This window comes from Homo sapiens, chromosome 10, assembly GCF_000001405.40.
Source record: "Homo sapiens chromosome 10, GRCh38.p14 Primary Assembly".
Classification (NCBI taxonomy): Eukaryota; Metazoa; Chordata; class Mammalia; order Primates; family Hominidae; genus Homo; species Homo sapiens.
Window position 1 is genome coordinate 28132663 of NC_000010.11, and position 13971 is coordinate 28146633.

The 13971-nt window shown below is 36.0% G+C and overlaps 1 protein-coding gene across 17 annotated transcripts in view; it reads right to left on the reverse strand.

Annotated features, from left to right (window-relative positions):
* Positions 1 to 13971, reverse strand: part of MPP7 (MAGUK p55 scaffold protein 7) — a 284211-nt gene that overhangs the window by 81670 nt on the left and 188570 nt on the right. The window lies entirely within an intron of this gene.

Here is a 13971-nt window from a genome sequence, read left to right on the forward strand (position 1 = left end):
AATCTTGGCTTACCGCAACCTCCACCTCCCAGGTTCAAGCAATTCTCGGCCTCAGCCTCCCAAGTAGCTGGGATTACAGGCGCCCGCCACCACGCCTGGCTAGTTTTTTGTATTTTCAGTAGAGATGGGGTTTCACCATTTTGCCCAGGCTGGTCTTGAACTCCTGACCTCATGATCCACCTGCCTTGGACTCCTAAAGTGCTGAGATTACAGGCATGAGCCACTGCACCTAGTGCATATCCTATTAAATCTGCTTCCAAAATATACCTAAAGGTTTTCTTTTCTCCACTTAGATCAGAGATTGGTAAACTACAACATCTGTTTTTGTAAATCAAGTTTTACTGGAACACAGGCCATGCTCATTCATTTATCCATTGTCTATGGCCGCTGTCATGCTACAGTGGCAAAGTTTAGCAGGTGGAACACACACTTTTTACATAAAAAGCTGTCAGGTCCCTGGTCTAGATTATGGATGCCATCATTTTTTGCCTGGAGCACTCCAGTATCTTTAAATGGTTCAGCAGCATTCAACTCTGGCCCATTTTCAAGTCTGCAATTCACAGTGTAGCCAGAGTGATTATTTTAAAAACTTAAATCACATAACTACCCCTTAATAGCCCTTCTAAAGTTGCCCATCCATTGGGATGACCAAACTCTCCAGGATGTCCTAAAAGTCCTGCATGCCTCTCCAACCTTATCTTACACTGCCCTCCTCCTCATTCAACTTGAATAACTCTTTCTCATAGAGGTCTGGCCAAAACATTACATAAAAGCAGATCCCCTGGTGACTCAATCCCATAGCACCTTGTTCTTTGCCTTCATACATGTCCATAATTTATAATCATATGTGCATTTTTATGTTTATATGGTTTATATTTGCTGTCTACTGAAACAGAAGCTCTAAAATGGCAAATAGTGTCTGTTTTAAATCAAACTTTTGAATTGACTATAACATATATACAAAAAGTACAAATCATAAGTGTATAGTATAAATTTCAAAAATGAATATGCCCAAATAAACACCCCGAAAACAAGAAATACAACATTAACCAAACTCCAGTGGCCCCCACTTATGCTCATTCCTAGTCATCATGCCCTCCATACCCCCCAAAGTGGCGATCTTTCCCTTTATTTGAAAATTATATAATTAGAATTACAAGTGAGTATTCATTTTTCCCTAATATTAAGTTAGTGAAATTCACCCATGCTGTTACTTATGGTAGAAGGAATTCATTTTTCATTGCTATATAGTTTTACAACATATAAATATGTTGCAATTTCTTTACCCATTATGCCTTTGAGGGGCATCTGGGTTGTTTTCCGTTCTTGGCTAGTACAAATAATGCTGCCATAAATGTTTCATATCTTTTGATGCATATATATATGATGTTATTTAAGTATATTTAAGAGTAGAATGTCTGGGTCATAGATATATAGTAAGCCCATTCAAAATTAGTAGCGTTTTTCAATTATACTTCTACTAAAAATGTGAGTTCTAGCTTTCTAACATGATCCCAAACATTTTACATTATTAGTCTAAATTTGGCCATTCCAAGTGTATAGCGGTATCTCCTGTGGTTGAAATGTTCATTTTTCTTAAAATGAATGAGAACGAAACCCATTTGTGTTTATTGGGCATGTGTGTCTCTTGGTGAGATGCCTCCTCAAGATATTTGCATGGTTTTCTATTGCATCTGTCTTTTTCTTATTAATTTGTAAGAACTATTTATAGTATGCTGGACCCAGTCTTTATCAGTTACATGTGCTAGAAATACATTCTCCCTTTTGGTAACTTGCCCTTTCACTCTCCTTCTTGGTTATTTTTGCTCAATAAAGGATTCTAATTTTAATGAGCTCAATAAATGTTTTTTTCCTTTGTGGTTCATGCTTTTTGTATCCAACAAGAGTTTTAATGGGGAAGAAATAAACAACATCAAGATGATAAAATACCTGAGAAGATAATGGCTGCAAATTTTTGAGAAGTGATGAGAGAAAGACTCTAAACGTTCACGAAGCCTGATATATCCTTTAGGAACAAGGAAAGATAAAAAGAAACCTATGCTTAATACATCACAGCAGAAATACAAAATGGCAAAGGCAAAGAGAAGATCCTAAAAGTACTCAGAGCAAAAAAAGATAGATCATGAGAAAGGAAAGAAGAAAACTGATTGACAGCTGATTAACAGCAGCAGTAGACACCAGAAGACAGTTCAAATACCTTCAAAGTGCTTAGAAAAAATAATAGCCAGTCCAGAATTGTGTACCCAGCAAAAGTATCTTTCAAGAATAAAGATGAGGACCAAGATGAGGTTAACAGGAATCCACCTGAAAAAACTAGAAACTAAAAATAAATAAAAATAAAGGATAATGAAACCATAGTTTTCAAAGATGCTGGGTATCAAGCAACAAAGGACAGAGATCACTGAGAGACAGGAAACAATGTGAGCCTATGACTGCCCCAGCATTGCAGCCTAGAGTTTCCAGGCTGTGATGGGGAAAAAGAAACACAGGCAAAACTCAGTCGTCTCCTTGAGTTGGGAAAACAGAGCTGGGAATCCAGAGACGTCAACTGACTAGATTCTCAGGTAAGCCTATAGAAGAGGAAAGGGTGGCAGATACAGAATTTGGGAGATCTGTAGGAGGTCTCCCTTGAGTCCTGAGCAAAGTCCTTAGCCATGGCATGCATATAAGAAAACTACCAGAAAGAATTAGAGCAGTGGCTCTTAACTGAGGGCAATTGTACTCCCTTGGAGCCATTGGCAATATCTGGAGACAATTTTTGATTGTCTTAATTTAAAGGATGTTACTGCCATCTACTGTATTGAGGCCAGGGATGCTCCTAAACATTTGGTCATATACAGGGCAGTCCCCTAAACTCCAGAAATAATTATCCAGCCCATAAATGTCAATAATTCTAAGGTTGAGAAACTGCATTACAAGGAATAATCCCTGAAGTTTGCATAGGGCAGAAATAGTTCTTGTTCTCATCAGTTAGCAGGAAAATCCTCATAATTCATAGGCACTGAGAAGAGTTATGGGATGGGTATTGTCTCAATAGTGGAAAAAATAAGCCCAAGATTTAATGCTATGATCTCACCTAAAAAAAAGCTAAAAATAAGCCTCTGAAAGATCAAAATGTTTCCAAGTAATTTAACTGTATAACAAAATAAAGCTCAAGAATACTATCTATAGCAGGGGTCTTCAACCCCAGGCCACAGACCAGTACCCGCTTATGACCTGTTAGGAACCAGGCCACACAGTAGGAGGTGAGTAGTAGAGACTGAGCAAAGCTTCATCTATATTTATAGCTGTCCCCCATTGCTTGCATTACCACCTGAGCTCTGCCTCCTGTCAGATCAGCAGCAGCATTAGATTCTCATAGGAGCGTGAACCCTATTGTGAACTGAGTATGCGAGGATCTAGGTTGCATGCTTCTTATGAGAATCTAATGCTTGATGATCTGTCGCCGTCTCCCATCACCACTACATGGGATCATCTAGTTGCAGGAAAATAAGCTCAAGGTTCCCACTGATCCTACATTATGGTGATTATGTAATAATAATAGAAATAAAGTACACAACAAATGTAATACACTTGAATCACACTGAAATCACTCCCCAAACCCCCATCTGTGGAAAAACTTGTCTTCCATGAAGCCGATCACTGGTGCCAAAATGGTTGGAGAAGGTTGATCCAAAGAAACACAAAAATACCCAGCATCCAACAAGATAAAACTCACAGTAACTGGTAGTTAATCAAGATAAAACTCACAATGACTCAAAATTACTAGGTATGCAAAGAAAGCAGAAAATACTGCTCATAATGAAGAAAAAAATGAAACAATGAAACCAAATACTGAAATTACACAGATGATAAACTGGATAAAACCAAACCCTAAAATTACACAGATAGCAGACAAGAAAATTAAAAGTTATTATTTAACTGTATTTCAAATGCTCTAAAAAGTTAAAGGAAACACTGAACATGAGAAATAGAATATATAAAAATTACTCAAATCAAACTTCTAGATATGGAAAGTATGAAATAAGAAAAAAGTACACTGAATGAGATTAATATAGATACTGCAGAAGGAAAAGTAATACTGTAGAATAAGCAACATGAGCTGTCCACAATGAAACACAGGGAGAAAATATACTGAGAAATTATGAATAGGACTGAATAGGACTTAGTGATCTGGGCAACTACTTTAAATGGCCTAATATACATGTTAACTGGCATCTCCAAAGAAAGGGGGCAGTTGCTGGAAACTATTTAAAGAAATATGGCAGAAAATAGTCCAAATATGATGAAAAAAGTATAAACCCACATGTTCAAGAAGCTCAATGTACCCAAGCACAAAGAAAACATAAAACACCACCAAAATGCTTAAAACCAGGAAGAAAATATTGAAATCATCCAAAAGATTTAAAAAACACATTATATATAAAACAATAAGGATTAAAAACGACAGCACACTTCTCATCAGAAACAATGTGGGCCACAAAACAATGGAGCAACATCTTTAAAATACTCAAAGAAAAATACTGTTAACTTAGAATTCTATACCCAGCAAAAATATCTTTTAGAAATGAAGGGGTATTGAAAAGTTTTGAAAAATATACACAAGCTGAAAGAATTCACTGCCAGCAGACTTGCATTGCAAGAAATGTTACAGGAAGTCTTTCAGACAGGAGGAAAATGTTGGCAGATGGAAATGTGGGTCCATACAGAGGAATAAAGAACACTGGGAATATCTACTATCTGTGTATCTATGGCATATCTTGCACATAGTAAAACAGAGATAGCTGAATAAAATGTTTTTAAATGAAGCAATTATGATAATTGACAGGCAATATTAAGAACATCAGCTAAATATTTTTTCTACTTAGCTTTGTTCCATGTCTGCATTCCAAAATAATTTCATAGGCATTAAGTTTGTAATTTTTAATAACTTTGTTTTACAAATATTGTTGGATAGCAACATTTTTAATTTTGGACAACTAAAATTTTGCATTCCATTATCCTGTTTTAACTGAGGTGATTTTATTCTTTAATATACAGACTTGCCTTTAAAAAGGCAATACTTAAATGGAAATTGTGTTTCCATATGCCAGAGCCACCAATCACAACTGATGGGTTTACCTGTTGCTCAGAAGAATCTGCAGGAAATTGAACACTAGGCCTTGTAACTCATCAGACTCACAAGCACTCACTGCACTGGAACCCCTGGAGTCAACTTTATGTTCTAAGTATCTGTCAGGTTCACAGAATTAAGTGTCTAGCTTATAAGGATGAGCAACATTGATTTATCCCTCCAGAAGGAGCTTAACTTTTTCCTTCAGCTTGCTTTAATGAAGCTTCATTCATCTTGCATGCTCAGGCAGTGAGTAATTTCTCTTAAGTGAATGTTTGGAAGCTAAAAATTACAACAAATCTTCTTATTTTATTGCCTTTTAAAAAATCTACCAAATTTTCCATGACTGCCTAAATTATAATGCCATATTCTAGAGATGATGTCACTTCACTGTTTTATCAAAAGTGAGCCCCCGGAATGATGACTCATACAGTTTAATTTGCCTTTAATGTGGCAATTTGATGGTTAGAAGTGGTTTTGATTTATTAATGACTATCTCTGCTTCCCCTAGAAACAAAGTCTCTATATAGAACAATATCCCTCCATCAATGCCCCTAAATGCCACCAACATTATTGATTTTGCCTATTTCATCACTGCAGGAAGTATTCACATTCAATTAATCTAGTTAGGCCTTTGGCTACTTACTTTTACATTTTCAGACATCTATTGTTTCTTTTATACTGCATTTATTTTCCTGAACTGGATTTTGTAGACATTATTGACTAATAAGAATAATCTATTTTTCAATATGGCAATTGACTGATCAATTCATTCTGGGTATAATCTTTCAATTTTTGACAGTTCTCCAGTGACACTATTGTTACAGAATGACAAGTCATTTCCTAACTATCAAAGACTTGAGGGCAACAGGTTATACAAGAAAAGTGTTGGCATTCTTCTGAACACAGCAAGAGATTCCTAAAGAGTAAAATGAACAAAATCACAATCTTATACTATTATGAATTAAAGACTATGAAAGAAAAGTTTGAATGTCATATAAATGTACAGAATTATCTTATATGTAGAGACAAAGAAGGCTATAATGGAATAAAAATTCCACCAAACATTTAATAATTTACATTGAATTCCGTTTACTGGGAATCCCAATGTTGCAATCACAGTGCTATGTGCTAGAAACAAAGATAAGAAGACCATCCTGTGTATCATGAAGTGTGGCAGACTGCCACTGTTACTGCCTGAGACCCTCATTACAGCAGTTACCACTGTTACTGCCTGAGACCCTCATTATGAGACTGAATGAAGGGACGAACATAGAAATGATAACAAAAAACAAAAGAAACTATTTTAAGGAAAGGGCCAGGGGAAGAAGAGAGCTCCCCGCTTCTAGTGAGCAAAGGCAGCCCCTGAGCTCCTACCACCCTTTGTATTTATTGGGTAGAAAGAGCATGGAGGAGGTAATGATTGGTCAGCTGCTTAACTGATCACAGGTTCACATCATTGCTAACAGGCTTCAATTATGCCTAATCACCAGAAACACTTGAGCTTGGGGCATGAATGCCCTCAGCATTCCTTCTGGGCAGCGGACATAGTTGTCAGCTTGCCCACATCCTGCATTTATGAGAAGTTTGCTGTTTACTCATATAACCTCCAGTGGTATACTGAGCTGATCATGACCCTCACACTTTCGGCCTCCAACAAATAAGAAAGATATACTTTTGTTCTTTATTAGGTACAGAACACAGAAAATCCCTGAAACACACATACATACACACAAACACACACACACAAACATCTGTTAAAGGTCCAGTTTCGTTTCTGGATACAAGTTTTTGAGCTTTAATTTTCTTAATCTTTAAAAGAGTTAATATTAGTACCTACTTAATAGGGCTTCACAATGATTAAAGAGATAATACATGAAAGTGCACGGCAAAAAGGCTGCTCCATAGTAAAGACTTCGTATTGTTGGCTTATTAGCTATTACAATTAATTTAATGATTATCTTATTTCAGGAACAGTCACATTGTATATTTAACCTTGTCTATAAACTTGTAAAGGACCATATATAAATTTTTTAAAAATCCTTTCCATATAGCTATTCTTTTCCTTCATATATTTGCAAAAGTTGGCCAAACTAGCAAGCAAACATTTTAAACAAATTTTATATTAAAAAGGTTAACAGGTTGTATATTGTGATAAAAATGGGTCAAACTAGAAATTAACATCTGTAAATATAAAAAATGAAACCCAAACAACCTCACAAATTTAAATAAGTCAGGATATTGAAGTTATCAAAATGTATTATAGACAATCAAGAAGTTAATATCAATGCCAATATGACATACACAATGTCCATGGAAGGTGACCAAATTTAAGAGAAAGCCGCATACTCTTAAATGTGTTTGTAATTAAACAAGCGTGACAGCTAAGGAGCCCACTATCTAATCAAAGATAGATATAAAGAAAAAAATCAGACCAGATGCGATGGCTACCGCCTATAATCCTAACACTTTGGTAGGCTGGGGCAGGCGGATCACCAGACGTCAGAAGTTCGACACCAGCCTGGCCAAAATGGTGAAACCCCAATCTCTACTAAAAACACAAAAATTAGCCAGGCGGGTGGCATGTGCCTGTAATCCCAGCTACTTGGGAGGCTGAGGCAGGAGAATTGCTTGAACCCGAGAGGCTGAGGTTGCAGGGAGCTGAGATCGCGCCACTGTACGTCAGCCTGGGCGACAGAGTGAGACTTAGTTTCAAAAAAAAAGAAAAAAAAATAGAATTGATAATAATGAGCCAGTTCTTTTGAGAGATTAGATAATTACTCATTTCTGGTATGCAGAGCAAGAAACTAGAGAAAAATATGTATATTAATAGCACTGAGAAATGGGACAGAACTTTGGATACAAATCAACAGGATAAATTGAACACCATTCCAACATGCTTGAAATCTTAATAAAATGTTAAGTTTCCTAGGAAAAAATAAATAATGAAGTAATTCTGGAAGAGCTTGAAAGCTGGATTAAATCAATAACTACAGAAGAAATTAAAAGCACTATCAAAAAACTTTCCCCAGAGATGGCACTGGAACCAAATGAAGGGTTGTATTAAAGTTTTCTGTGTTATTTACAGAATTCCAACACATAGTAAAATGTAACATTTCTTTTTCAAAGGTCTCACAACCCAAATGTAAAACCTAACCAGAAAGTATAAAAAGATGACAGCACAACTTTGGTCTCAGGATGATTTTTTTTAAATACTAAAGTAAAATATTACAAAATTAGACATAAAAATCTTCTTTTATCAAAAAGAAGTTTTAATCCCAAGAATTTAATGTTTTATCACATAAATATCTGCAGTTATTTATGCTAACAACTAAAAAAGTTTCTATGATCACTTTGATAAGTACCATAAAGTCACTTGACAAAATTTAACATAATTCTGATTTATTTTTTTTAAATGAGACAACAAAACTTTGTAAAATATTCTATCAGAAACCAGCCACAAACATCATACTTATTAATAACAGGAAGCACAGAAGTATCCCCATAAAAGTACAGAAAAACAAAAGCATATCCTGTTTTTACTACAAGTTTTGAGCATTTTTTCCTGCAAGTCATATCAAGGCAATAAGGTAACGGGGGAAATTATCTATAATTACTAAACAGGAAAAGATTTTTAAAAAATCTTGTCAATAACATTGAAAATTAAATGAGATACTTCGGTAAGGTGGTATAAAATAAGTATTATGGAAATTAACATGTTTACTGTATAGAAACAACATACTTGTTAGAAAATACTCAGTAAATAGTATACCATGGGGGAAAATTAATTTATACATATGTGTAGATGTGTGTATACATATAAATATATGCATGCCGGCACACACGCGTACACATCAGGCCTGGGAATAGACTTAGCAGGAAATAGTCCAGGGTTATATAAGGAACAATTTGATCTAAATAAATAAATTGCCACTGTCTCTGGAAAATTTAATTGCATCCCAATGGTTTTTTTTTATGACATAAAAGAGAATTCCAAATTTCTTCTGGGAAAATACATTTGCAAGAATAATGATAGGAATTTGGCCTTAGAAGGTATCATGCTACAATTACTAAAACAATAAGATAACCAAATTAACAGCAATCAAACCAAGAGTTCAAAACAGATTCAGATATATAATAAAGATAAATCAAATTGTGAGAAAATTACCATCCACTTGAATAAAAAAAAACTAGAACCACATCTTATACCATACACCAAATTTTCATACAGAGTGATAATTTCAAACTTCAAAAAATCACATTTTTAAAAAGCCAAAAGAAAATAGGAAAGACAATTTTCGTAAACTCATCATGAAGAATACAAGTCCTTTCCAAGCTAACTCAGTGCCCAGAAGTCATAAAGAAAAAGAATGCCAAATTCTACTATATAAAAGTACATATTTCTACCCAGTCTTAGAAAATGCATGTAAGATTAAAGAAAAATAACTAAGGAGAAATCTATAATAATGATTTTATATTCTTATGTCACTCACAAGTCATTAGGAAAAACACAAAATTTTTACTAATCATTATTTAATCACACAGTACTCAATGAAAGCCTGCTATACACCTGCAATTTTTATTCCCTATTCTCATGTGGCTTATATTCTAGTGGTACTCAACTAGCAAAGCTAAAAAAGAATATTAGTTGGGGCTGTGCATGGTGGCTCACCTCTGTAATCCTAGCACTTTGGGAGGACTAGGTGAGTGGATCACTTGAGGCCAGGAGTTCAAGACCAGCCTGGCCAACATGTCAAAACCCCGAATTGTCAAAAAACACAAGAATTAGCCAGGTGTGGTGGCGTGCACCTGTAGTCCCAGCTAGTTAGGAGGCTGAGGCAGGAGAATCGCTTAAACTTGGGAGGTGGAGGTTACAGTAAGCTGAGATTGTGCCACTGCACGCCAACCTGGGTGACAGAGCGAGACTCTGTCTCAAAAAAAGAGAAAGAATATTAGTCGAAAAGAGCTTATGCAATTAATTGCATATAAATTGCAACAGCATAGGGAAACAGGCCTTCTCATGCACTATACTGCAGGTGCTCGAGAAGGTCTGTCTTAACAACAAGCTGGAAACAATGATCAAAACTGTAAAATGTACAAACATTATGTATGCCCCAATAATTTACTGTCCTAATTAAAGTATATTTTGACAAAATATTCCATAAAATCCTCTAATATACAAAAGATGTGCATCATAGTGTTATTTAAATAGCAGAAAAGCAGAAATAACAAAGGTTCGTCTGTAAGTTAAAATAGGTAATTTTGTTGACACAAAGAGAAGGCTACAAAATGCCAAAAATATTAAAAGAAAAAAAAATCACATTAAGTAGTGCATTCTATGATCCCACAGAATATACTGGGAAAAAACATTTAATATTTATATATACAGAAAGGGTTGAAAGGTAATGCAGCCAGCCAAGAGCAGTTATCCCTAGAGGTATATGAACATGCAATTCACAGAAGAAATAAAAACATATAAGCATAGGAAAAGATATGCATCCGCACTAATAAAGCAATGACGATAGGGGCTTCTACTTTCTTTATAATTTGAATGAAAAATACAATTACGTATTATCAAAAAAGAATATTTCTGTTTCCTTTTAAGTCTTTATCAAGTCACTCTGCAAAAAGTAAAAGTGAACATAATAAATTATCACATCTTATTAAGGACAGATATCATAAATCATGTATATTAATAAATGTTCCTTCTAATCTCACTTATGGATTTTAAAATATTCTTTCCTTTATGGGTGCATGTTTGTGTCTGTATGTGTGTATTCCTATCTTTGTGGATCAAATGCTTTTCTATTCCATGATAACATAACTTACAAATTTTCTTCTAATACATATTTTTTCAATTAAAAATATTCTTATGGTTCAACTTTTTACACTTAAATTTTTAATCTATTTGAAGTTCACTCTAGTGGTGACTTTTCTCATTTTTTCCCAAACTATTTGTTATTCCAAGACCACGTATTACAATTGTCCCTCAAGCTGCCCATCCCCCGTGCTTCCTTCCACCCATCCCACACTCTTTCATTAGGACCTCAATCGTGTGCTGTGTGTGTGTGTGTGTGTGTGTGTGTGTGTGTGTGTGTGTGTGTGTGAGACTGAGTTTCACTCTTTCACCCAGGCTAGAGTGAAGCGGCGTGATCTTAGCTCACTGAAACCTCCATCTCCCAGGTTCAAGTGATTCTCCTGCCTCAGCCTCCCAGGTAGCTGGGATTACAGGCACCTGCCACCGCCACCATACCCGGGATTTTTGTATCTTTAGTAGAGATGGGGTTTCACCATGTTGGCCAGGCTGGTCTCGAACTCCTGACCTCCGGTGATCAGCCCACCTCGGCCTCCCAAAGTGCTAGTGCTCTATGTGAATTATTCCTATAGGCTCCCACTGGCCTTCCTCCATTCAGTATTGCATTTCTCCCATTCTACACCACCCAATGCCTCAAAAGCTTGGTCTGTAGACTACATAGGGAGTGACATGTCACTTCCTGCTTCAGATCCTTTCAATGGCTTTCCACTTTTTTATAAGCTCACGATTTCAGGTGTGGCCATATAATTTATCACCCAAATAGGGAAACAAATGAAAGTGGGAGAAAGGCTATTACTAATAATGCTGGAACTGCAGGCATGAAGCCGACTATCCTGGGCAAACCCTACTCAAAAGGTCGACTCCCCAGCTCCAAACTCTCACCCCTTCTTCCTTCGCAAGCCACTGTTCGCCCGTTCTGAGGCTGCTTTTGCATTTTTACATCTTCAAACTTAAAGTTTTCCTTTATGGGACTTCACATGCTCTTCCCTGTACCTAAATCATTTCTTTTTCACATCCCACCCCCAACCCATCTCCCACTCCTTTGTCCCCTTGCTGATTCCCTCAAACTGCAACGTAAGGTCTCAACTTATATGCCACTTCCTCTGTAAAGTTTTCTTCAATATTCTCCCCCTGCCCAAGTTTGGGTTTAGCGCCATTCCTATGTATCCCATATCATTTCCATACGCTCCCTCTTTTAAATCAGTATTTCTCCTATCACCTTCACTAGTGTACGTATATCCTCTATAATCTGCATCCATAGGGCCTGGCACACACTAGGCATTAGAAGAAAAAAAATCTAAGAATAAATGAATGAATGAAGATCCGTTGCTGGTGACATTTATAAACTGCCAAAGAAAGTTATAAAAATTTTCAGAAAGAATTGGCACACCTCCTGGGTTCACACAATTCTCCTGCCTCAGCCTCCCGAGTAGCTGGGATTACAGGCACACACCACCACACCTGGCTAATTTTTTGTATTTTTAGTAGAGACGGGGTTTCACTAAGTTGGCCAGGCTGGTCTCGAACTTCTGACCTCGTGATCCGCCCGTCACGGCCTCCCAAAGTGCTGGGATTACAGGCTTGAGCCACCGTGCCTGGCCGTATCTGTGTCTTTTTAAAGTTCTATTACTTTGAAGATATATTTCAACTTCCTTTTCAGTCCAATGAATTAAGTATTTAAAATGAAATAGGAAATCTTTAAAAAGTAAGTAACTTCCCTAATCCACTAGAAATTAAATATTCAAATTAACACACTAGAGTTACATTTTTCATATTTTAACTGTCAATTCAACTAACAACCTACATACCTTGCTTCTGTTTAAAAGGAAAACAATCACAAAAAGATTTTAGTTTACTCCCAGGACAAAAATAGATTAACTGATTATATCCTGAAATAGTCTAAAATTTATTTGGGGGCTTAACTTGTTAAAGTAATATGGAAATGAGGTCAAAGCAATGGTAGATAATAAGAATGACTTCAAGAAAAGCAATGTTAAATGTTAGATCAAAAAAGGAAAAAAGATACTTTATTCCCAAGACTAGCTAACTACAAACTGACATTGCCAAACAAAACATCATGTATCCTGGAATATTACCTATTTTCTACACATATGAATATACGTCTTTCATGCTAACTTTACACAATTCTTTAGTCACACTGCTAGATAAAATGAAAAATAACCAAATTATCCACCTAAAATATTTTCCACATAATAAAATTTAACTAATTATTATAAAATTTTATCAAATGGCCCTTCTTAATAACGTCTAAAGTCATACCTCCCTCTTGAGCCAAATACCAGTTCTCATCCAGTATAATATTGCATAATTAGCTATTCCATTTGAAACACTCTTGAACCAAATACCATAATCGGGGATTTTTTTTGTCTGAAACATGCTGCTTTCATTTCTAATACCCTTGAACCAAAACAATAATTTCAAAAAGGAGTTTAACAAGATATTCATAGCTAACCTCACCCTCCCCTGGGTGATACTAACTTCTCAGGTGCAGTCTAAGACCAAATGAAGAAATCTTCAGAACGTTCTGTGGCTAAAAATCTCCTTAACGTTTTTACACACTTTGTATTTAACATCAAGGAACTTTTCTGCTCTAATCTGATCCTTGTTCTTTCAGAACAAAAATTTAATAAACTTCCTAAACCACTACAAATCAATTACCCTCACATCATTAATCATAGCCTGTTTAGCTTTTACAGCAATACATTCATGTACTTACATTTACTTATAGGGATTAGGGTTTATAGTCCACGCATGTTTTTTTTTTGTTTTTTTGTTTTTTTTTTTTTTGAGACGGAGTCTCGCTCTGTCGCCCAGGCTGGAGTGCAGTGGCACGATCTCAGCTCACTGCAAGCTCCGCCTCCCAGGTTCATGCCATTCTCCTGCCTCAGCCTCCCGAGTAGCTGGGACTACAGGCGCCCGCCACATGTTTTTAACCTCATCTTTTATTTAATACCATCTCTCTTTTTATAAAAATAAATTTAAAACCAAGTTTTAAATTCTG